The sequence below is a fragment of the Homo sapiens genome, chromosome 11, assembly GCF_000001405.40.
Source record: "Homo sapiens chromosome 11, GRCh38.p14 Primary Assembly".
Taxonomy (NCBI): Eukaryota; Metazoa; Chordata; class Mammalia; order Primates; family Hominidae; genus Homo; species Homo sapiens.
The window spans coordinates 59,173,677-59,199,020 of NC_000011.10; the positions used below are offsets into that span (position 1 = coordinate 59,173,677).

The following is a 25,344-nucleotide window of genomic DNA, read 5'->3' on the forward strand; positions in this document are numbered from 1 at the left end:
TGAGAATCAAGTTGTCACTGTAGCCAGCACAAACCCGCTTCCCAGCTGACCTGCCTTTCCAGGTCAGAGCCAGGAAGGGAGCCTCCAGGATGGGGCCTTGGGGGGTGGGGAGTGGGGGTGCTGCCCAAGGGAGAGCAAAACTGCCTCTCTTTGCTCGGTCCTTGCTTAATCGATGACCCGGGAAGAGTTTCTGCCTCCGTCAGTGACAGGTGGGGAGGGGGCCATTGTTTCTGGAATTCTGGCTCGGCTTTCCCAAGAGTGCAACCGAGGAGCCTGGAGAGGCCGGTGTGCTGGGGAGGACGTAGAGAAGATGACTCGGAAAGGCCCTCCCCAGTGAACAGCTGTTTGAGCAGAGTCTCTCTGCTTCCTTGGAAAGCCCCCACATCCTGTGTGCTAATTAGGATTGTCATGGGAAAGGGGTATCTTTCCACCCTCATGTCCCCATCTTTAGTCATAACTCCCAGCAACCCCTTTGCCAAGGACTCTGCAGACACTGGCTGATTGAGGAGAGCTTTCTGGGGAGAGGATTCTGGAAGTGTTAGAATCTGGAGGGGCTTCAACCGTGTGTGGAGCTGAGGGAGACTGGGAGGAGCAGAGAATAGAGAGGAATGTGGGGAGATTGAGAAAGAGGATTAAGTGTGGCTGAGGGGGAGGGAGAGAATGTCATTGCGCAACTTGGGTAAAGGTTGTGGAGGTGAGGGTGGAGGCATCAGAAGGTGAGGGTGGAGGGGGTGTGTGTTGGGCGGAGCTGAGCCACGGAGGTGGGACCAGAGAGAGAGAGAGAGACCAGCAGTTAAAGCATCTGACAGGGGATTCCAGTCCTGGAAAAAAAAAAAAGCAGGTGTTACCTTTTCTATTTCAGAGTAAATCTCTACAGCATTTGGAAAACCACCCTTGTGACAGAAACGTCTCAGCCCCTTTCCCACATTTGGAAAGGGCAAAGGTGGAATCTGTGTTTGGGGGTACTTAGGATAGGCAAGGTATCTACAAAGGTTCATGACCCTTTCTACAGAAGCGAAGTTGTAGAGAAAACTGGGTGGAAGGAAAGAAGCTACGTTTCCCAGGTCTGATCACTCTTACCTGAGGACTGCCTGGTGGTGAGCAATTTAGTCAGAGGCTGGCGCTCCCTGGACTTTAAACCTCAGGCAGAGAACTTGCCCTGAATCATTTTAAAGGCTGCCTCAGGGTGTGTTTATCATCAGACTGCTGTGGTTTCATCCGCTCATTGCTAGAGTCAGTCAGCCATCCTGAATACCTCTCTGCTGTGCGCCAGGCCCTGTGCTGGGTGCTGCGGACACTGGGCTGAATTCCCAGAAAAGCTGGGTCTGTCAGGGCGCTTGTCAAAGAAGAATAGAAGAATCTCTGGGTTTCTTAGCTCTGAGCCCCCTCCTCTCCCTTCTCCACCAACACACTCATAGTTCCTCTCAATCTCATTGATGAGGCCATGACAGGGTAGGAACTTTAAACCAGTGGCTCCCAGGCAACCTCAGCTAAGCCCTTGCAATGTTTAATTAAATTACCCACCATCCTTAAGCCATAATTCAAAGCTGGGAACCAGAAACATCCCCATAAACAAAAGAGATCTGGAAGTCCCCTGCCCAGAGGCGATTCCTCTCCTTTTTTGTTGCCTCCTCTGTATGGGGACATTTCCTGACATGAGAGCTTTGTCTTTTTAGAAGTTGCTTGCTCTGCTGCTGATAGAGTCCTCAGGCTCTCCACTCGCCTGGGCTCCTGACCTCATCCAGCCTGTCTCCAGGGAGATGGCTGGGAGGTCCCAGACACCCGTCTGCCCGCCTCTGTTTGCCCTGGGCCCTTCTCCTTCCCCAGACTGCCTAGAGGTCTGATCTTATTTGCATTCTATGCCAGTCTTCTCTAGGCATTTTGGGCTAGAGAATCTGGAATAAGGGTAGAGATGGGGTGAGATAGATGGGACTGGCTCTTGGCCACTTCCAAAAGCCTCGGTGGGCCCCTCTCCACCTGCCATCATTTACCTTGACTGGGTTGTCCTTTTTCTGTTGTAGGGCAGTGACTGAAGAGCTTTACTTCAGCATCACTTTCCCCTGTACCTTTCAGCATGCCTGACCCTACCAACTCCAGGTTTTCAGTAGCAGGATGCGGAAGATCCAGGCTGAGAGTGGAGACAAACAACTGTGGCTCTCATTCCAGGCTCACTGTTTACTCCGTGACCTTGACCAAGTCTCTAAATGGTCAGGCCTCATTTTTTTTTTTTTTTTTAGAATGAAGAGCAGGCTTAAGATTTCTTCTTTCCCTCTTTTTCTTTCCTCCCATCATGCAGATCAACAGGTGAATGGGTTGGCCCCTGTGCCAGTGATGATACTGATAAGCACAGGGTAAAGGAGCGTTCTTTCCAGCTCTGAGTTTTCTGTGCAGGTTTTGCCTTCTTTATGTCTTTTAAAGTGGTGAGAAGTGTCAGATGGAGAGAAAGAGCATGGGCTGAATTAAATGATTTGACAGAAGCTGAGTTTTAGCCCCGCCACAAAACCCTCTACCCTATGTTAGCATAGAAGTGGAGGAGGCAGGCATCATGATGACCACATGATAATTACAATGTGCAGGATGCACCATGTGTCTGCATCATGGCAAGCACCTTGCACACACTATCTTGTTTAATCCTCACAACAATCTTATGAAGAACCTATTATTATCCCCATTTTATAAGTAAGGAAACAAATTGAAAGTGATTAAGTTGCTCAAGGGTTTACAGCTAGTCAATGGCAGGGCCGAGATTCTGAATTAGGTGCCCTATGTCCTATTTCTACATTCAGTAAATAGTTATGGAGCAACTATTTAGCGCAGTCACTGTTCCAGACATGTGAGATATAGCAATAATAGAGCATCCAAATATTTCTTTGTCCTTACGGAAAATTCTGGTGGGCGTGGGGGATGCTGGTAAGAGCGGCCTGGGATTTCTTGGACCTAGCGCATGCCCTAACGGCAGTGAGTCACTTACATAGATGTGTGTAACATGCCCCAGAGACCTCAGTGCATGCCTGGAAGGCATGGCCTTCCACTTCCCAGAAGCTGAAAGGTTTTGGGTGCTTTGTAACGCAGGTGGAAAATCTGTAAAAAACTGATTTTCTTTCTCCTTCTTCATCCTTAGTTTATGAACATCCTCAATCCCTATCCTACTGGAGCCCCTTTCCTTGGGTTACTTCACAGATTATCTGGTTTATAATACTGATTCTAGAAAAGTCGAGAACTAGCACATCCAAAATAGGGTGGTCTCTGAAAATAATCAGCGAGTAAAATCCCACCATGTCTATTGTCTCAACACTTTGGTTCTGAGGTCTGCATGCTATCTCTGACTCTCTGTAGCGTTGAATTGAACTCAACAACTTTCCCTCCAAAACCAGCTCTTCCTCTTGACATCCCTCTGACACCATTTTACCACTTTCCCATGGTCCAAACCCAGGATTCTTTGACTCATTCTGTCATTTAGAATCTTATTTGGGCACCTAATAGGTACAGGCACATAGACCCTGTAGCCCAACAGCTGAAATTTGAGTGTACCCATGCACCACTCAAGGTGGCCATTCACATGCAGATTCCCATGCCCAGGCCCTGGAGATGCTGGCCTGTAGGTCTCAAGGGCACTGCTGATTCAATTCATACCCCAGGAGATTCTGACGGAGGCGATCCTCAAACCTCACTTGGAAAGCATTCAGCTACTCATGATCAAGTCTTACCCATTTTTTTCTCTGTAAGGTCTCTCCAGTTTGTCACCTTCTTTTCATTTTCTATGCCAACACCTCTCCACTCACCTGGAACTAATGGACAGAGTGGCTCTGGTCTTGCCCCTCTTTTCTTAACAAACTTCACTGGCTCTTCATTGATTACAAATTAAATCTATCATAGTCTGACATTTCAGACCTTCCATACCCTCTCTGGCTCTAACATATCTTTCCAGGATTGTCTTCTTCTATGCCTTATATTTCCCTCCAATCTGCCAAACAGAGGCTACCTCTATCCTCATGCATTCCTTTAGAGTTCTCTGACACCCTTCACCCCCCCAGCTAGCCTTGAGGTCCCTTCTTCTGAAACACTGTCCTTTGCCATTTTTACCTCTCAAAATTCTTTTTGTTATACGAGTCCATGCCATTTGTTATTCATTTCTTAAAACATTCTCCACACCTTGAAATGCTTTCCAAACCATCATTACTTCATTTATTGAATCAATATTTTGGAGTGCCTAGGACATGCAGGCATAGAGAATACAGCCATGAGCACATACCTTGATGCCCACTCTCATGGTACTCACTCTCTAGTGAAGGGGACAGATATTCATCAAATTAGCCACACAAATACATATGTAACTGCACATTGAGATGAATGCTATTAAAATTTTTTTAAAAGGAACAAGAATTTCACCTGGCCAGGACTGCCCAGGGGGCCTCCTTGAAGAAATAAGCTCTTCCTGTGGGAAGAGCTATGGAAAAGATGCCAGAGTTTTGGGGAGGAACCAGCATTGTGAAGAGGCCCAGAATCAGAGAAGCCTGGCAATGAGGAGAGATTGAAGGCCAGTGTAGCTGAAATGTGGGCAGTTAGGCTATGAGGGGGCCATGTATGTTGGTGGGTAGGGGGGATTTAGATTTCAACCTAATGGGAAGTCATGGAAGGGATTTACGCAGGGAAGGGACATGGTCAATTTTCCTGCCAACATGCATTTTGTTGGCATTCTCCTTGTGATACGTTCTGCCTCATAAATAGTCATTCACACACTTGTCTTCTAACCCTGTTTCAGACTGAAAGCTAATTGAGGAATGCTTGAATCTGCATTCCCCATAGCAGTTAATGAGTGCTCAGGGATATGTGATAAATGATTAAATATTAAAGTAGCCAGAAGTCTTCAATCAGTCACAGCAGTTTCTGGAGCCCTTGCAACTGCCAGACACTGCATTAGGCACTAAGAATGCAAAGAGCTCCACAGTGGCATTCCTGCACCCACTTAAGGCAGGATGGTATGAAAAATGTTGCTGAAACATTGGTGCACATCAGCATAGTCAAGCTACACAGCTCAGGCTTCCTGAGGGTGGGGCCTGGGCTGGGAGAACATTTTAAGAAATGGATGGAAAATGGCTTGAGACCTGAATGGTAAGGAGAATTTCAATAGGTAAAAATGGCAAAAGAGGCCATTTCAGTAGAAGGGACCTAGCGAATTGTGGGGAAGGGAGTCAGGGAACTCTGGGGGAATGCATGAGGATAAAAGGGGCCTCTGTCAGGCAGGAATAGAAGAAAACACAGAGACTGAGGAAGACAAACCTAGAAAGGTATATTATAGATCCATGGCATAGTTTCCAGAAGTTCTGGGACAACTCTCAGGCATCTCCAGGATTGATAACAGTATTGTGTTTAAAAAAAAAAAAAAAGTCTTTTAGGCAAATCTGTGAGGGGGTTAATTGCACAGTCCCTGCCACCCTGGAGAGAATATAAAATAGTGCCATTTAAACTCTCTAAACTTAATTTCCTCATTTGTGAAAGGTATTTCTAGGATTGCTATGAAATTTACGTGGGATATGTGAGGTGCTTTGTAAGTAATAAAGATTGTGCAAATACCAATTTGAGAGCAGCAGAAGGCAGCCAAATGACTAGGCAGATAGGGGCAGGTCCCCAGTGAAACCTCACTTTCAAGCCAAAAACAGCCTGAAGGCTGAAAGACTGGACTGCTGGTCCAAGATAAAACCCGCAACCCAGAGTGAGAACTTCTGTTCCTGTTTTTGTACCCTTTCCCAATTGATTCTTTCTGAATAATGCCTTTTAACCAATCAAATGTTGCCTTTTCCAGTACTACCTACAGCCTGCCCCTCCCCTATTCTGAGCTTATAAAAGCCCCAGACTCAGCCACATTGCAGGGACTTTCCCACTTTTCGGTAGGGGCACCACCCCTGGGTCCCCTCTCTGCTGAAAGCTGTTTCATCACTCAATAAAACTCCCCACCTTGTTCACTCTTCGATTGTCAGCATATCCTCATTCTTCTTGGGTGTGGGACAAGAACTTAGGAACTGGTGTGCAGCCAAACTTGGCCCAGGTGGGCAGAGTGGGCGAGTCATCTCTTGCCATCTCCTGCAGCAGGTTGTGTGGCCGAGTGAGGCCCAGGCAGGGTGTTGCCAGCCAGAGGTCCCTGGCTTGAAAAGTGACCGAGAAGAAAATCCTGTGTCAGTTATATAGAAACTTTTTCTCTCTCTCTTTCTTACACCCCCTACCACCCTACACACATACACACACAGACACACACACACACACACACCCTCACACACCCTGAGCTAAACCTTCTCCATGGTTTCTCCATCCTGCTTAGACATATAATAGAAAATAAATTACAAAAATAATCACCAATTTTCATTGAGCTCTTGCCATGGTGACAGGTGCTATTTTTGAGTTTTACATTCATTTCTTCATTTAATCCTCAAATCCACCCTTTGAAGTCACTACCCAGGACCCAAACAGATGAGGAAACTGAGGCTTAATCACACAGCTGGAAGGGACAAAACCACCCCTATTGGCCCCAAAGCCCATACTCTTTGTTCCCCAGCAAGCTGCGCACTTAGGAAGGAAATGGAGGCAAACCAGGGAACTATTGTCTCCCCCTCCCCTGCCCCCACCATCCTGATACCCCCATGTTCCCCAGCAGAGGCCATGGTGATGAATAGGGGATTGTTCTGCTTCTCCCTTGTGTCTCTGAATGTTGATGTTTTGGGTCATTAAGGAGCTTGGAGATGGGGTGGGGGGCAGGTTATGACCCTGGCAAAGGCCTGAATAGCCATTGTTTCTTTTCTTCCCCCCTTGAATGGGATTCTGTCCCCAGTCTTGGTGTATCCCTCTGGGTTGGAGGAGGGGTGGGTCAGAGGCTGGTGAAGGCAGCCTTTTCTCACCACTTTGATGGATAGAGCTTAAGCTGACAGATGCAGAGATTCCAGCATCCCAGGGGCCCTCCCCGACCTCCCCACCCTGCCCTGAGCTAGACATCTTTAGCCTTAATGTTGACACCATGAAATGAGCCCTGGTTGAGGATGAGTCAGGATTCAGGTTTTGAGTGAGGGAGAAAGAGGCAACAGTTACAGGTTCAGTTCCCTTACAGTCCTGCCAGTTCATATCTGCTGTACCATTACCCTGTAATAACCCTGACCTCTTCCCGGCCCCAAAGTGAGACTCTGAAAATTAAGACAATCCTACCTTTAGGAGGGTTTTAGCTTCTTAAAGAAAGACATCAGATAAATATAAAATTATTCTCATGACCATTGAGAATGTTACTTTTGCTACTGATATAAGATTTAATGTTGGGAAATATGAGAGAGTTCTCCCAACCTGATTTCCCTTCTTCTCATAGTAACACACCATTTTTTTTTTGGACAGCATTTATAAATGTATAGAGATCCAGCTCCCTCACAGCCACTTCTGGGCAGCCTTCCCGCATGCAGGCAGAGTCTTCCCTCAGTCCTCTAGGCTTCCACAGCCCTGTATTCTTTTCCTCATGACTCTTGGCACAAGAGCATTTAGAGGAACAGAGGAGAAGGAATATGATCATTATGAGCACCTACTGTGTGTCAAGGGCTTTACATGCCTTAGTGCATTCATAGGGTTCACATGAAATCCAGAACCTCGCATGTACAAATACATATTTGCTGAATAAATAAGTGAGTCATATTTAGTTTGTACAAAAACTCTAGGAAGGAGTTATCCTGTTTCCCAGGAGGGAAAGGGAGGCTGAGAGGTTCTATATTAGCTAGTAAATGGAATGAATTTGTCTGCAAACCAAGATGTCCCGACTGCAAAGCAGGAGGCAGTCTTTCTGCTACCTTACCTTATACTGCCACCCATATCCTTCATGCTGTAACTCATCTGCTTCTACCCTGGTTGGACTATAGACATCTTAAAGGGAGAAATGAGTTTCATTCAAAGCTGGCACTTCAGGCAGTGTCATGCCCAGTACACAGTAGGACTTGTTTCATGTTTGCCATTATGGCAATGGCATGACTTGTTAATGTCTTGCCACTCAGTGTAATTGCATGCTGACTCTGACCTCTCCCCTATCCCACCCTGGCAGGAACTCTCCGCCCAGTTCGCCGCAACTACTACGACCCCTCCTCGGCCCCTGGGAAGGGCGTGGTGTGGGAGTGGGAGAACGACAATGGCTCCTGGACGCCCTACGACATGGAAGTGGGCATCACCATCCAGCATGCCTATGAGAAGCAGCACCCCTGGATCGACCTCACTTCCATTGGCTTTAGCTACGTAATTGACTTCAACACCATGGGCCAGATCAACCGTCAGACCCAGCGCCAACGCCGCGTCCGCCGGCGCCTCGACCTCATCTACCCCATGGTCACAGGGACCTTGCCTAAGGCTCAGTCCTGGCCAGTCAGCCCTGGGCCAGCCACCTCGCCCCCCATGTCCCCCTGCTCCTGTCCCCAGTGTGTCTTGGTGATGAGTGTTAAGGCAGCCGTGGTCAATGGCAGCACTGGGCCCCTACAGCTGCCAGTGACCCGCAAGAACATGCCGCCTCCTGGAGTGGTCAAGCTACCCCCACTGCCAGGCTCTGGGGCCAAGCCACTGGACAGCACAGGCACCATTCGAGGCCCACTGAAGACCGCCCCATCGCAGGTGATCCGGAGACAAGCCTCCAGCATGCCCACTGGGACAACCATGGGCTCTCCTGCCAGTCCCCCAGGACCCAACAGCAAGACCGGAAGGGTGGCCCTGGCCACCTTGAATCGTACCAACCTGCAGCGACTGGCCATTGCCCAGTCCCGGGTGCTGATCGCCTCTGGGTAAGTGCTTCCACAGCTGCCTCAGAGCATTTACTCAGGGTAGAGATAGGCTACAGCAGATCTTCTGGATCAGAAGGAGGGGCTGCCAAGACTTAAGCTTCTCATCTTGTGCTGACCCCTGGCTGCAGGTGAAGGTGGTGCACCTGGCTGCAGGTGTGGTGGATAAGGGAGGGTTTGATGCTTGGCCTCTGATCTGGACTCTGGTTGAGACTTTGGCTCTTCCTAGCCATATGATTTAGGACCAGATCCCTAACGTCATGGAGTCCTAACTTTCTCATCTGTAAATGCTGGCAGTAATACGCCTGTTAGGGTGGCTGTGAGGCTTAAAGAAGATTGTGGCCAGGCGTGGTGGTTCATACCTGTAATCCCAGCACTTTGGGAGGCTGATGCTGGAGGATCTCTTGAGCCCAGGAGGTCAAGGCTGCAGTGAGCTATTATTGTACCACTACACTCCAGCTTGGGTGACAGAATGAGATTGTGCCTACTAAGCAATAATAGGCAACATTAATAACATTAATTGAACTCCCACTATATTGTAGTTTGGGGCTTTACATCTCATTTAATCCTTGCAACAACTCTATGAAGTAGGCAAGTAGGCATTATCCCCATTTACAGATGAAGACAGTAGATGTTCGCTTGTTCAAGGGTACATAGCTAATCATTGGCAGAGAATGGGATTCAGACTTTAGGACATCTGACACTAGAGCCCAGATTCTGACTCTGCTGTGCTCCTCTTCTACCAAGTACCTACCACAATGCCCAGCATTCAGTAGGTGCAAAATGAGAGTTTCTTTCCCGTAGTCTCTCTGGAAGCCAGAGAGGTGACTCCAAATTGGAATACCGGCCTATTTTTAGTGATGACTTATTATGTGCCAGGCACTTTCCATACATTGTCTCAGTTATTTCTGTGACAACCTGTTGATGCTGTAGGTCCTGTTTGTATTGGTTTTTATGTTCTTGATTTTCCTGATCATAAAATCGAAGTGACCCAGATCCATATGGTGGCTGCAACCTTTGCCTGCCAGCCCCTGGTTTCTTAGCATCTCACAGCCACCCAATCTTCCCTTTCTGTCTCCAGAGAGGCCTGGCTCTGCCTGTGGCCCCTGATCCCAGCTGATCCGGATGGTTTTCAATTGCATTGGGTGCCTAAGTCTGAAAGTCCAGGCTGCTCTAAGAAGGTGGTTTTGGTACTCAGCTGGGTCCCTGCACACAGAGGTTTGGCACTGGGAGGAGGAATGAAGGAGGGTACACCACAGAGTGGGAAGAGTGCCGAGTTGGAAATCCAGAGGCCCAGCCCCTACTCCTACCTCTGTCACTGGGGTGAGCCACAGAATCTTTGCAAGATCCAGTGGCCTTACCTACTGCATGGAGTTATCGTGAAAACCTCCACTAAGGGAGTTGGCCTCTTGGCAGTGCATTCTCTTACTCTGTGATCTAAGTGTTAAGCACAGACATCCTGCTCAGAATTGATTTCCCAAGGAGAAACAGAGCTCATGTGTTATGCAATAGGGGTTGGAACCCAGGTTTTGGCCTCCTGATCCACTGTTCTTTTGGCTAAAGCCCAGCTCCTCATTGTACACAAAGGCAGTTTATAACAGGCAAAATGCTGGTGAGATGCATGAGATTTTCATGACTTCCCCTGAGATGGCAGAAGTATTTGGGAGCAGAGAATGGATGGCTAAACCTTGCTGCTGCTTAATTTCTCCCCGATTTCACACAGCACCATCCTGGGGGCCTCTAACAGAGTTCCAGGGTGATTGCTAGCATGGAGGAGGGAGGCTCCTGTGCTGGGTAAGAACCCGTCCTCCAGAAACTAGGACTGTCTGGGCTTGAACCCAAGTGCCTTGCTGTGTCAGTTGGGGCAAGATTTGCATCCTCTGTCTTCAGTTTCCTCATCTGTAAGATGGGATAGTAATAGTAACTTCCTTTTACAGTTGTCTTAAGTTCAAATGACATACTAAGTGTATAGACTTAGCACAGTGCTTGACACATAAGAGTTCAGTCAGTATAGGCTGCTGTCATTGTGATTGCTGTTATTATTGTTAACAGGTGTCCATGTAGGGGAAGTCAAAGCTGAGTAGGGTCTGACATCCCACCTTGTCTCTGGTGCCCTTGACAAATGCCAAGTGACTTCATTTCCATCACTGAGGGAGAGGCACCCAGGTGGCTTTGAATCTCGATGAGGGAGTGGAGTCAGCAGCTTTATCTATCTTCTTTATTTCCTCTGCCCGCTCATAGAATTGGGGCTAGAGAATGGGTGGAGGTCTGAGCAGTACAGTTTCAAAAGGGCTATAGAAACAAGTTGTTTTCTTTTTTTTCTCTCTACTCTGTTTTCCTGATGAGGGAGGCCCCTGCCTACTCCTCTCGATCTTCCAGCCCTTTGCTTTTCACCTCTTACCACCTCCCTCACCCCCAATCCCATCTTCTCCTCCAGCCTTTCTTGGCCATTTAATTAGCGTGTTTATTCCCTTTGTCTGGCATTGCCATCGACCTTCTGTCATTGCAGGGCCCCTTTCCCCCTCCTCTCTCTGCCCATGACCTCTTCCAGCAACTTTCCCACGGAAAAAGGAAGACCAGGGAGGGCGGGAGGAGTGGGATGAAGAGAAAGGTTTGGGGGCAGGAACAAAAGATCCTGTGAATTATTCAGAGACAGAAGCAGGGGTTTTCTAAAGGGAAGCAAGAAGGGGGCTGTGCAGTGGAGGCAAGCGTCACCCCTCTAGCCCCCTCCTCTAGAGCTGAGGATTCTCTGTCTCCAGCTAGGCCTCAGTTGCCGTAGAGACAAGATCCTTGTCCTGCTGGAGGATTCCTGGACTGGTGCATAACTCCGAGAAAAACACTGCTTCTCATCATGGTGACTGCAGAGATATACTCCCTCCCTCAAAACTCCTTTCTCTGCCACCTTGCCAGCTCTCTTCTCTTGTCTTAGTTTTATGTTTTAGCGACAGAAACAAAAGACCCTCCATATCAGGGAACAGGCCAACTGAATGGGGGCAGGGGGTGTCTTATGATTGGCCAAGCAGTGGTTAGGACAGACAGTTTTGGCTGATGGAGTTGCCTGAAGGATGTGAGATGCATGCCTGCCATTGGGTTGCAGTTTTCTAGGAGAGCTCAGGCTTTTGAAGCTGAGGCCCCAAAAGGGTGTGACCAGCTGGGACTTCATGGGCTGTTCTCCAAGGTTTAACCAGTAATAGTGGGGGAGGTGAGATCAACCGTCTCAAGTACTGCCCAGCACTCAACTTTATGCTGGATACCCATGACCTCGAGAATCAGAAAATTGGAATATTAGAGCAGAAAACGTCTTTATTCAGCCCAATGCCCCTTTTATACTTGGGAGGTAAAAGCATAAACAGTCACCCAAACTTGCACAGGGCTCAGCTGTTTACAGTTAGTTGACCTAGTTCCTAAATCCTCACAGGGACCCCATGGGGCAGACATTTAGGATGCCCTGTTCACGGCTGTGGTAACTTAGATATGGTCAACAGAACGCAGAGAGGCTGTGCGGCTCTCCCAAAGGCAAAGCAGGTCAGTGCTGAGCGGGGCTAAAACAAAGACTCCCTGACTCCAGTGCAGAGCTCCTTCCATTACACGGTTCTGGATTTCACAAGCAAATATACCCCTTCTCCCCAGACCCCTCCTTCCCAGAGCCCAGTGACAAGCCTACCCGCCATGTCATTCCTCTCCTCAAGTGGCAGGGACATGTATCTCTCCCACCTGTTGAACCCATAGTCTTCTTGTGTGTCCCAGGTCCACATGCGGGCCCTTCCCTCCCTCTCTCCACATCTTGCCCCTGAGTTCTTGAGCTGCCTGAAATGTGTGGTGTTCTGGGGATTGGATTATTTCCTGGTTGGCCAGATTGGGTGTGGAAACCTGCCAGTCCAGTTTATGGGAACAAAGGTGGCTTTTGTCACCCAGATCACAGCTACTTATCAGCTGGAGTGGGGGCTCTGAAGATGGCGAGGGAGAAGGTAGGTGCAGGTCTGGGTTCTGAGTGCTGCCCCCTGCTGGGGAGCTGGGAGCAGGACACAGGAAGCCGGGTCTTTTCCCCAAACCTCTCCAGAAAGAGCTGGGCGAGGAGAATCGGCCATAAGTGGAGGACTCAGGGCTTGGGTGGCCATTTTTTTCTCAGATATTGGTGGGAAGTTGTCAGCCAGTTTCCGTAGCGTCTTCTAACCCAAGACCCTCACAGTTTTACAGATGGGGAAATTGAGGCTCAGAAAAGTTAACTACCTTAGCGAGAAACTCCTGGCAGGGATGGGACTTGCACCTGATTTTCCTGACTGCCCATCCACCATACCATGCCTGGCCCTGGGGAGCAGGTCACAGAGTCCAGAAACAAGTCCATTCTTCTTTTCTTGGCCCAGTGGCCCTTGTTTTGTATTCAGCTTTCTCCTCCATCCTCCCATCCTGGTTTGATTTATCCTGGGGACAGTTTCAGAAGAAAAGCGGCTTTGGGTGGCCTGGTGAGACACAAACATTCCCATTCCCACATCTGTTCTTTCACATCCATCTCCCAGCATTGGTGCACATGTCATCATCCCTGGGAAGGGACAGAGCCCCAGGCAGGCTCAAAGTAGGTTAGAGCTGGGGAAGAACCTTCCTTACAGGCATGAGGGGCAGAGACAGACCCCACTGCTTGGCATGGAGGTCCCGTTGCAGCTTTCCCCATTCCTAGTGGTGGGTTTATTCATTACGCTCTCTGAGTTTCTGGTCTATGTTTGCAGTGTGGGATGTTATAAGGATTACGTAAACACAAGAGCCTGGCATAGTAAATGGGCTCTGGTGCCAGATTTTCTGGCTTAGCTGTGTGATCTTACCAAGTTTCCTTAACCTCTCTGTGCCTCAATGTAGTTGTCTCTAAAATGGTGTTAATGACTGCACCTCTTGCATAGGATGTTGGAAGGATCAGACAGGTTTATATGCTGTGAGCAGTTGGAGCCACTGTTGGGGGGAGGTGAGCTCTGTGCATGTTGGTAACTGTAACATGTGAGTGAAGAAGGGCCATGAGCCATGTGTTCACTGCTGACCCCCAGCATCGGGAATAGCAAACAACACAAAGTAGGGCTCAATAAACACTTTTTGGATGGATAAATCAATACATAAATATTCTTTTTTTCCTCCTCTTGCTTTCCCAGCACCATCCTGCCCCCACAGCAGAGCTGTTGGCTTTGCAGGCTGTCTGCCTCCTGGAGTCATCTGTGACCGGGTCCATTAGCCTCTCCAAGCCCAGCTGCAGGAGTGTGGGTGACAGAGAGGATGGCGCAAGACCCAGACCCATGTGTCCCATATTTTCCAAGTCAGCGCTGTGGGAGGGCCGCGCCTTTCCCAGGCAGCTGTGCCATCTCCTCTCCAGCCTGGCTGGAGTTGCTGGGGAGAAGGACAGAAAGGGGAGGAGGCTTTGCCTAATATTTATATATGTCTCAGGGAAAAGGAGAAGTGACAGCTGTTCTAGCAGTGGTTCCAAATGTTAGGCTGGGGATTGCTACATCTGCAGCTTCTCAGGAGCTTTGGGAAATGCAGCTTCTCGTGCTCCACAGGTGGATATTCTGGTCTGGATCTGGGACCTTGTCCTTCTAAAAACATCTTAGGTGACTCTTTTGTACACCCTGGTTTGAACTTGCTTCTTTGTTTTTTCATCCTTCAACAAATATCAATTGAATGCCTACTAGTGCCTGGCTCTGAACAAAACAGACAAAGATATTTTGCCCTTTGTAGAGCCTAGATTCTAGAAGGGGGCATAATAAGCAATAATTTCTTTTAAAGGATCCTAAGTAGAGCAGGAGTCCTGGCGTGGGATGGAGGGGTGGGTAGCAATATTCAATACTATGGTCTCAGGAACCTCACCTGATAGGTAGGATTTAAGCCAGGACTGAAGGAGTTGTAGGAGGAAACTAAGCAGTTGTCTGGTGGAAGGGCATTTTGGGTACAGGGAACAGCATATGCAAAGGCTCTGAGGCAGGAGTGCACCTGGCTCCTTGAGAGCTGAGTGATATGAGAGGAAGCAAGATGAATAAGAGAAGCTGGGTGGCAGTGTTGGCAGATCGTGCTGGGCTCTGTAGGCCTTGCTAGGACTTTAACTTTGACTCTGAGTGAACTGAGGAACATAGTTCTGAGGTTCTGAGTGGTGGCATGACATGGCCTGACTTAGGTTTTGAAGATGTCACTTCCTGCTGTCTGCTGTGTTAAGCACTTAACTGCATTTTATTAGAATTAAATACTGGTCCATTTTGTTCCACGTGTCAAAATGACATTGTATCTGCTCTTTCCTTTCACAGGGTCCCCACAGTCCCAGTGAAGAACCTAAATGGGTCCAGTCCTGTCAACCCTGCCTTGGCAGGTAAGAGAAACCCCAGGATGCTCTGGGTTAAGGTAGAGAAATCAGAGTGATGAAATAGGTCATGAGCATTTGTGGAAAAAAAGGAGAGAATCTAGATATTAATGAAAGCAAATGGTGATTTTAGGAATTGCATGGGAAGGGTATGAAGAGTTTGGAAGAGAACTGATTACTAAAAGGAAAGCATGCAATTGAAGATAAGTGAGTGAATGAATAAGTTTCTGGGGAAAGTACAGGGTAGAGAATCCAGGAATTATGAGAACTTTCTGCTGGAAAGGAGGAGAGTAGGTTAATGGGGAAAGAGGAATTTGGGGAATGTTGAGAGCTAAGTCTCCAGTCTTTCCTCACCCATGCCCTGCCCCTTCCAGGAATCACTGGGATCCTCATGAGTGCAGCGGGGCTGCCTGTGTGTCTCACCAGGCCACCAAAGCTGGTCCTACACCCACCCCCCGTCAGCAAGAGTGAAATAAAATCCATCCCAGGGGTTTCCAACACAAGCCGCAAGACCACCAAAAAACAAGCCAAGAAAGGTACCAGCCTCTTGTCTCGTGGGGTACTGAGAGTCAAAGACTTGGCTGTCAGCCCTGAGTCTGCCTCAACCTCCAAGGGTCATAGCCACGGCTTCACCCTCTGTGCCTCAATTTCTGCATCTGTAAGTGGGCCTAACCAGTAAATCTTGACGATTATACCACAGCTGATGTGTATGGATCAGATGGAAACACCTTGAGAAATAAAAATATACAATGCAAAAGTATAGAAACATAAAAATATAAGGCGTGGTACAAAGAAAATATGTTAGAAGAGAAAGATGACTTTGGCATTGGAACCAAAACAGACTGGATTCAAATCGTACCTTTGTTTCTTGCAAGTTGTGTGACCACATGGAGCCCCTATTTTCTCATCTTTATAATGAAGTAAAAATAGTCACAACTGGTATAACTGGTATCCAGCAGGTATATCCTGGAATGCATCCATGACAGTTAGGAAGTAGTCCCTGTCCTGTGTCCCCCTAGAACCTACAGAAATCTCTGCTCTGAAATCCTCCTTTAGGAACCCCCTCCTACCTGCAGGCAATCCGGCAAATAAGGGGTCAATATCTGTACCTTCCTAGCACTGCAGGACCCCAGCTTAGCTCTGTGGCTTGTCTTTCTGGTCACTGGCATTAGTTGTTAAATTTGACCATCTCCCTAAGCCCCAATCTTGCAGGCTTGTGAAGTTTAAATTGGATCATGTGTGTGTTGCACTTAGCCCAGGGCCTGGCAAGAAATAGGCTCTTAATTACTAGAGCTTAATTCTTACAAGAGAAGCAGGGCAACTGGAGGAAAGGGCCTGCATCGAAGCTTTTGGCTGTTGCATGATCCACTTCCTCAAACCCTTGTCCTACTTTTCCAGTCCGTCAAGATTTCCCTGCTTAAATGAGCTCAATTGCCTTGCTCATAGTCTTATCGGAAATAACAGCATTTTACACTTTCCCACTCTTCCTGTTATTATTAATAGTGCATATCGGGCCCTTATCTGGCAGAGAGCTAAAGGGCAGTACATCCATTTGCTCATTCAATTGTCAAAGCAACCCTTTGAGGTAGTGCTATTGCTCATCCCCATTTCATAGGTGAGAAAACAGAAGCTTAGAGAAATTAAGGGAGTGGCCCAAGGTAGCACTGATCATTTTTCAGGTTATATCATCCCATCCTCTACCTTCAGGTTGGGCTACCTTTTAAGAGTCCAGTCCCCTGAAAAAAATCCCTAAATCATTGCAGCCCATCAGGATGCTTCCCAGAGGATCACCCTTCCCCTGCTGCAGGACTGTGCTGGCTGGCAGTGACAGTGCCATCCACAGCCAGGAAAGATTGTTCTGGAGTCGTGGGTCATAACTTCCTTGTTTCCCATAAAAATAATCACACTTTGACACCACATTATAAATTGAGACTACACTTAGCAAATTGTAAAATGAAGGTGGTAAGACTGCCTAACATCTATTTAACGTGTAACAGTTTGCAAAGTGCTGTTATCAAATCATTTGATTATAAGGAAGAGAAACCCACTCAACTCTTCTCAATTAAAAAAGTGGTTTGTTGAAAATAGGCAGAGAGATGTCAGAAAAGGGACTGCAAGAAATAAAGCCTTCTCGTCAAACCATCTCACTAGCTTTTCCACAATCCATACTCTCTTCCATGTTCTTAACTTAAATTGCAGAAGGAATTCCTCCCCTTTTTGCTTTTAACTTGCCTGATAACGTCCCCCTCTACCATGTCTAGCACGACAAGGCTGTTTGATCTCTTACCTCTGCCTTGGTGGCCCACTGAACCTCCTGTCTCTGCAGGTAAAACCCCAGAGGAAGTGCTAAAAAAATATCTACAGAAAGTCCGGCACCCACCAGATGAGGTGAGTTCAGGGTTAGAAGAGCGGGATTCACCTCTCCATCACCCACAAGCATTTCCTCTTCTGCTGTTGGTTTCTACAGGATATGGCGGGGGCTGCATTCCAAGTTCTCATGGATACAGAACTGGTCAGAACTGACACTGAGGGTTCAAGGTCCATGGTCCAGAGCTGCAGCTGCACCTCAATCTCTCCCGCCTCCCCCTTCAGCATAGTGCTGGTTGTTTTTAAGCTACCTTAACATGACAGTCTCAATTTAGGAAAAACAGTGTGATAAGCCACAAGAACTCACCTTAAAATGGGTTTGATACAGAACAGTGGTTCTCAACCAGAGACAATTTGGCCCCTGAGGGAACATTTGGCCATGTCTGGAGACATTTTTGGTCGTCATTATTCTCAGGACCTTGTGAGTAGAGCAGAGGCCAGGGATGGTGCTAACCACCCTACAATGCCCAGGACAGTCCTCACAGCAAAGAATTGTCCTCCCCAAAATGTAAATAGTTCTGAGGTTTAGAAACCCTGTTGGACATTTATTTAAATAGCCGTCCCTCTGGTACAGTTAAAATACAATTCCTTTACATTCCTTAAAAATTCACCTTAAGTAAAGCTCCTCAGTGGGCTTGTTGACAGTATTTGTTTCCTCCATAAGCCGTTGAAGGACAAAACAGAAGGACAGTGCATTGTTATAGCCCTCACGATTATGATAATTTAGATGATGAGCCCAAGTTAATCAGTACCAGGAATTATTTCAGGACGTTGTTGTGTAAAGACAAAACGATATTTAGATTCCAGAAAGCACTTACACCCTGATTTGTGGGTGTTTTAGAAGAGAAGTGGTAAGAGCTCATCTGACCTCTGAGATCATGTGGAAATCTCCCAGGCTGAGTGAGAGCTGACAGCCTCTCTGCTGTGTCTCCTCCCTCCCCAGGACTGCACCATCTGTATGGAACGCCTCACGGCCCCCTCAGGCTACAAGGGCCCGCAGCCTACGGTAAAACCTGACCTGGTAGGGAAGCTGTCCAGATGCGGCCACGTCTACCACATCTACTGCTTGGTTGCCATGTACAACAATGGGAACAAGGTCAGTGCCAGCCTATGGGGCTCCTGCCACCCTTCACACTGGGCTCTGGAGTAGCAAGATGGTGAAGGCCCTTTAGGGCCCTTGCTCAAGTGATCTGGGAAGTCTTAGAGGTTATCCCTAGGCAAGAGTGATGATCTTGGCTGTTCTCAGCAGGATCAGTTCTTTACTAAATTACAGTGCTGGTAAGACCTGTCTTCACCTTCCCTTTTGGGCTGTGCTATCTAATTCTCCATCTTCGGTGTCAGGTCTAAGAGTGGGGTAGGTTTTGCCCCTGAGGGTTCTGAGGGGAGTGGCCCATTGTCATGGCCCATTGCTAGGTGAAGTGTGCTCCCATCAGTGAGAGAGAAGGAAGTTCTTATCACAGCGCTAGACCCATGGTGAGTATTCGTTCATACCATTGTAAATGGGTTTCCCAATCACCCTTTCTTCCCCAGGGTTAGTGATTTTCAGCTACAATTTTCTTTGGACAATTTCAAAACACCCTTGATTGGCCCTTCAAAGGTACTAAAGACTGTTGCCAAAGTACACCTGGTAATCCCTGCCCTAGAATCCCACTGTTGGAAGAGGGGAAGGCTGTTTGGGATGCTTGTCTTGTCTATTATCTGACAATGCAATGGTATCCCCTCATTAGAGCTGGTTCTTTGGAATCTGGAAGACTCCATAGGTGATCATTCTCTCCTTACAGTGTCTGAGCATTTCCTAAGTCATTGACTCATGTTCTTTCGTGTACCTGAGATAACTTTTACTCCCTATTTCCATGAGTACTTATTTCTCCAGGCCAAGCTTAGATTACATCAGAGTCTGAGATCTCCCTGATAGCTCCCAACCTCTCACTAAGCAAGAAGTATGTCTGGATTATACGTCTGTCTGGTCTGGTCTATACGTCTCTTACTGTGGGAAAGAAGTAGAGGTAAGAGAGGTGGGAGACCTGAGCTTGAATCCTGGCTTATTAGCTGAATGACCTTGGACAAGGTTTTCCAATCTCTGAGAGAGACTTTCCATCTGGAAAATGGAGATTAAAACTATACCTACTTTATGGGGTCTTATGCTATTATTATTCAAATTGATATCGCCTTTGTATTAAAGGCTGTAATTTTTTCCTTCATCTTCATGTAGCCTATTTGATTGAAGTTCCCAAAGTGCTTTCTTGGTGTCCCTGAGAGACATGCTTATAGTGGTGGTCAGTCATTGATGGGGGATGCAAATCTGGATCACTTGCTCACTTTCCCAACCCTGGGCTAAAAGGATTCATTGGGATCTTGCATTTCAAGAAGTTATTTTGGGCTTAAAGGGGTTTCTTAGCACATTTGTTCCCTATTTGATGTCTATATTCAAGAAGAATATGGTAACTCTACATTTATTTCCATGGGGCTTTCAAAAATGTTTCTCAAGAGTCTATGCTTTATTCTCTTTTGCACTAATACTTTGAAGCATGTGTTTTTATTTTATCAAACACATGAGAGAAAAGGGCCCAAGAAGAAAGGAGTGATTCACCCTAGGTCATGAAGCAAGTCAAGGCCAAAGCAGAAAGTGGGAACCTGGTTTCAGAGAATAGTCACCCTGAATACGAGCTATTGCTTTAAGCGAGTAGACTGGAGAAGTCCCTAAATAGCTCAGCAGAGGATCCCTGTCTTCCCGAGGAGTTGGGGATGTCCTGGCAAGCTTTCATCCCAGCTGCGCAGCAGCACATTTTACACACGTTGCTCCCAGCCCATGCGCCTTCCTTCTCTTTGCCCCTCCTTTTTGCGAGCCTGGGAATAGGATTCGGTGTCCAGGCCCTCCTCCAGGCAGCACCTCACCAGGTCCTGCAGTGAAACCGTCACCCTGTACACCCCTGCATCCAGAACTGCCTCTTCCCACTAATGGAGCCACCGAGTTGCAATGCAAAGCTGGGGGTTTAAACAGACCCCACACCCTGACAAGCAGGAAGTCCTTTAATCTTGCTGTGCCTCGATTTTCCTCTCTACAAAAAGGGGCTAATAATTTCTTCCAGGCCATTGTCAGAAGCTAAAGCCTAAATGAAACAAGAAATATTAAACTCTTTATAGTATGATTTAAAGCACTATAATTACTGGCATCATTCTCTCTTCTAGGTATTTGTGCAGACCTTACACTCTATCCTTCTAAGCAAATTCATAGCTATTCTTCAAGGACCATTTTCTTAAAGTTATCCTCATTTACTCCAGCTCTTAGTGGCCAATTTCTCTTTTCATAGCAGTAGTTTCCAAACCTGTATGAGCATCAGTCTTTCCATGGAAATTATAAAAATGCTAATAACATTTAGATACACCACATGCTAAGATCTTCCTATAGATTATCTCATTTAATTCTCCCAACAACCCGATGAGACAGATATTTTTTATCCTTCTCCTATAAGGGAAACTGAGACTCAGAGAAGTTAATTAATTTGTCCAAGGTCACACAGCAGTCAGATGGCAGAGCTAAGAATTACGTCTAGGCAGTCTGATTTTCACATTCACAGCCTGAAACATTATGCTTTGCAGCTTCCCAGTTCTTACTCAGTGGACCCGATGTGGTGCCCAGGCATCTGTGTGATTAACAAGCTCTGTGGGTGATTCTGATGCTCAGGAACTGGGCAGTTGCTGCTCTCCAGGTCTTTCTGTCTGTTCCACCCATTTGGTACTGAGTGGCTGAATAATGACTCCCTGTGTAGGCTCCTGCCCTAGAGAGCTGGTCCCCTCCTCAGGGACAGGGGCTTCTCTTACATATCCCTCAGCATGGAGCATGGGACCAGTTGTGGAATTTACCTCCTATTACTTTGGAGAAAGCAGAAATAGCCTAGGTGACTGGGCTGGGAGGGAAAAACTAAGATCTATCACTCACCAGGGTGCATTTTGTTCCCCTGGCCCTTCATCTCTGGTACCTTTTGGGACTGGGTGGGAAAGTTATTACCAAAACTGTTTCCCAATCTGGCTCTTCTGGCCTTGGCCCCTCAGGATGGAAGTTTGCAGTGTCCAACCTGCAAGACCATTTATGGGGTGAAGACAGGCACCCAACCTCCAGGGAAGATGGAGTACCACCTCATCCCCCACTCCTTGCCTGGCCACCCAGACTGCAAAACCATCCGGATCATCTACAGCATCCCCCCCGGCATTCAGGTGAGCCTTTCTCTCAGGTGAGCCTTTCTGTCACCCCTTGGTTTTTATTGTTCTATGTGTTTGTAGGTAAAAAGTTACATATGAAGAGTCTCCTTCCCACACTTTTCCGCCATCTACCCAGCCTTGCCCGCTGACACTACATCCCCCGACTCAACACTATTGTTCTGACTTTCCTATGTATCCTTCCAGGATTCTTTGTGCACACACAACAGAAAATCGCATCCACCCTTCCCTTTTTTTTTTCACAAACAGTGACATTTAGGCACATTGTTTGGCACCCTGCGCTTTTCAGTTAACAATGTAGTCTGTAGATCTTTCCACATCAGTATAGAGAGAGCTTCCTCGTTCTTGTGTCTGTGTAATCATCCATTGTATAAATGTACCACTATTTGCATTCAGCAGTCTCCATTTGATGGGCATATGGATTGTTGCCAATCTTTGGCTACAACAAATAATGCTGGAATGAATAACCTTGTACACATGTGAATATATCTGTAGAATAATTTTCCAGAAGTGGAATTTCTTTGTCAAACGGTATTTGCACTTGTAATTTGATAGCTATACTTGGCTTTGATTTTGGTGGGCATTTCTTTCCTCTTTTGATTCTCTGAAAGACAGTCCTGAAGAACAAATCTGAACACTATTCCTGCCAGTAAATACAAATGTGGCACCTTCCTTCACACAATGAAGCTTTTTCTGAGTGTTCTGGGCCGTTGACTGTATGCATTTCTTTAGCAAATATTAATTCTTCTATCCTCTTTTCCTCCCTCCTAGTTTTCTTCTTCCATTTTGTCTTTTATTTAACAAACATGGAGTGTGGATTATGGTCCAGACATGTTCTAGACATTGGAGAAGCAATGAGCAAAGTAGACGCAATCCTTGCTCCTTGAAGCCCCTATTCTAGTGGGGCCAGGAAGGCCATAAAGGAAACAAATGAATAAACAAGGTACCTCCAGATAGTGATCATCGATGTGGAGGAAATAAAACAGGAAGTTGTGATAGCCTGTAAAAGAAGTGAATAATTCATAGTTCTTCCTGGAGGGGCTTACCAGCCAGTCAGGGGAAGATAAATGTACATCACTAATAAAACCTCTGAGATGCAACGTAGACAAAGTGAGAACACAGGCCTTCAAAGTCCAATGGACCTGGGTTCCCCTTCCTAGCTGAGTCTTTATTAGCTGGTGCCTTCAGCCCAGGGGTTCCCAACCCTCAGGCCACAGAAGGGGCCGCACAGTAGGAGGTGAGTGATGGGTGAGCCAGTAATACCACCTGTGCTCTGCCTCCTGCCAGATAAGTGGCAGCCTTAGATTCTCATAGGAACACAAACTCTATTGTGAACTGTGCATGTGACGGATCTAGGTCGTGCACTCCTTATGAGAATCTAATGCCTGATGATCTGTCACTGTCTCCCATCATGCCCAGATGAGGCCATCTAGTTGCAGGGAAACAAGTTCAGGTATCTCACTGATTCTTCATTATGGTGAGTTGTGTAATTATTTTGTTATATATTGCAATGTAATAACAATAGAAAGAAAGTGTGCAATAAATGTAATGCTCTTGCATCATCCCAAAACCATCCCCCACCACCCCGGTCCATTGAAAAGTTGTCTTGCACAAAACCAGTCCCTGGGGCCAAAATGGTTGGGGACAGCTGTTTTAGACAACAGGCCCTTGACCTTTTGGAGCCTGATTTCTTCACCTGCCCAGCCAGGAGCCCAATTGGCAGAGGTTTGGTGAGAATGGGAAATAACGTTTGCCTATGCATATTGAAGAATGAGCACAGTACCAAGGTGCTCAATACCTGGTCGTCAACATCATTTTAGGTCCTGCTTGTCATGGTAAAGAGGAGGGCTTATATCTGTCTGTCTGTCTGGAAGGGTTAGAGGAGACTTTCTAGTGCAGGGAATTGTCTAGTTGAGTCTAGAAAGACATAAAAAAATGGAGGAGAACATTTTTAGTGGGAGGAGGTAAGAGGGTTGTAGAGGAAAAATTTGAGTATCAAAGGGCAAGAAGGAAGGGTTTAATTTGGGGCTCAAGACTCGCAAGGAAGTAGAGGGAGGAAGCATGAAGGAGATGGAGGGAGAAGACTAGGCCGTGAGGGAGGTTGCAGCCAGATCATAGAAGGCATTGAGTACCAGGGCGGGGGTCGTGGATTTTAATCATCAGTTATTGGATGTGCAGTTAGGAATATGGACCATTGTGTGAATGGAATTATGCTCTAGGAAGGCTAGTCAGGCAAAAGAGTCGGGGATGGCCAGAGGAAAGAAGACCAATTAAAAGGCCACTGCCACAGTCCAGGCCTTAGGAATGGGGCTCGAACAAGGGAAGGCCGGGATAAGGAAGAGAGAGATATGGTTGGATATGGGGTCAGGTGAGACTTCTGGAGTGTCTCAGAGGCAATGAGTCAAGGTGATACAGACATGAATGAAAAAACAGGACTTGGGAGAAACAGACGATGTTCTGGTGAGCAGTAGAACAGACTGAAGCTTGCAAAGACAAACGTGGGGCTACCATTTCCTCCAGGATTAAAGAGCAGAGAGCCCACACTAGGGGATACAGGTGGTGCATGCTGCCTTGACGGGTACCACGGTGGCTCCTCCTGAAAAACCCAAGCTCGTATCAAGGGAAATGCAGCTCTCCACTGTTAGGATCTACATTCATCCCTGAGTGTAAGTAGCAGGACACTCAGTGCCATGTCATTCAAGTTTCCAGGGACCACACAGGCATGCGCTTCTGTGAGGAGTCGAGACCTTCAAGCTCTGCATTCACTGCAGAGAACTATTCCCTTGGGGAGAAACTCTGGGTTGGGCTGAGGCAGAGTCGTGACTGCTCCACTTAGCAACGAGCTGGGAGGGCACAGCCGTGTTGGGTCAGTGCCAGGCAGGCGTCTGAGTTGGCCACACAAGCGGCAGTCGAAGGCAGATCAGGAGCAGTCAGAGCCGTGGTTAGAACTGGCCTTTCAGTCAGGCAACTTGATTTAGAAACAGCTGGGGCCATGGGAAGGTTGTAAATTTGTAGTGATTTCCTGTAAATGTCAAATTCATAAATGTTGGATTCTGCATCTCCGAGAAGGCGTTGTTGCTTCTTTCAGCTCACGGTGACTGCTCCCTTCTCTGAGACCCCATTGCATTTACCATGTCAAACCATAGGTGATCTTGAATCATGTTAACTATTTAAGAAAATGGAAAGCCACAGAATTTCTTATCATTTTGGAACCATGGTCCATAATAAGAGAAAAAGAAAAATCTGGGTTTTTTTCTTGCAGTTTTTTCATTCATTTGTTCTTCCACACTCGTTCATTTATTCAGGCAGGATGTATTTGCTGATCATCTACGTGAGAACTTGTGCCAAGAGCTGCATGGAAGTATCAGTTTTATACTGGTTGAATCTAGAAGGGGTTTTTAAAGAGGGTTCCATCCCTCAGGGGGTCAGGGATCCTCAGAAATTATAGACAAACCTTTGTATGGGGAGGAGGGGATTTGGTCATTGTTACCGGGAGAAAATTTGCCGCTTTTCATGAGCTTCTCAAAGAGGCCTGTGGACTCATTCTGGGCACTGATTAGGAAACCTGTTCTCACTCAATTGTGCTTCAGTTTTTTTCTCACCAAGTGGCCTGAGACTGCCTACTTAATAGGGTATTGGGTGGCAATA

At 47.1% G+C, this 25,344-nt stretch overlaps 1 protein-coding gene and 1 long non-coding RNA gene across 4 annotated transcripts in view, besides 2 other annotated features; one reads left to right on the plus strand and one right to left on the minus strand.

Moving 5' to 3' along the window:
* The window catches only part of DTX4 (deltex E3 ubiquitin ligase 4), a 37,159-nt gene that overhangs the window by 2,247 nt on the left and 9,568 nt on the right, over positions 1-25,344 (plus strand). For both annotated transcript variants that reach the window (NM_001300727.2, NM_015177.2), the window contains exons 2-7: positions 8,063-8,786; positions 15,059-15,120; positions 15,486-15,647; positions 17,438-17,499; positions 18,422-18,574; positions 21,532-21,693. In NM_001300727.2, coding sequence (NP_001287656.1) covers positions 8,170-8,786; positions 15,059-15,120; positions 15,486-15,647; positions 17,438-17,499; positions 18,422-18,574; positions 21,532-21,693 — 1,218 coding nt within the window. In that variant the 5' untranslated portion in view covers positions 8,063-8,169. The remainder of the gene's footprint in view (positions 1-8,062; positions 8,787-15,058; positions 15,121-15,485; positions 15,648-17,437; positions 17,500-18,421; positions 18,575-21,531; positions 21,694-25,344) is intronic.
* On the minus strand, positions 23-18,426 carry LOC124902675 (uncharacterized). 2 transcript variants are annotated; one of them, XR_007062682.1, is made up of 4 exons: positions 15,971-18,426; positions 13,014-13,205; positions 5,956-6,143; positions 23-821 (listed from the first exon to the last, which is right to left on the minus strand). It is a non-coding gene; the product is annotated as an uncharacterized LOC124902675 (long non-coding RNA). The 2 variants fall into 2 exon arrangements; XR_007062681.1 differs by lacking the exon at positions 23-821 and having other exon boundaries at positions 4,160-6,143.
* Positions 1,220-1,289: a silencer, noted in NCBI's record as "silent region_3362". NCBI's record gives its function as "represses an Ori minimal core promoter by ATAC-STARR-seq in GM12878 lymphoblastoid cells {active_cell/tissue: GM12878}" and the evidence as "EXISTENCE:reporter gene assay evidence [ECO:0000049][PMID:35858748]".
* Positions 12,759-12,848: a silencer, noted in NCBI's record as "silent region_3363". NCBI's record gives its function as "represses an Ori minimal core promoter by ATAC-STARR-seq in GM12878 lymphoblastoid cells {active_cell/tissue: GM12878}" and the evidence as "EXISTENCE:reporter gene assay evidence [ECO:0000049][PMID:35858748]".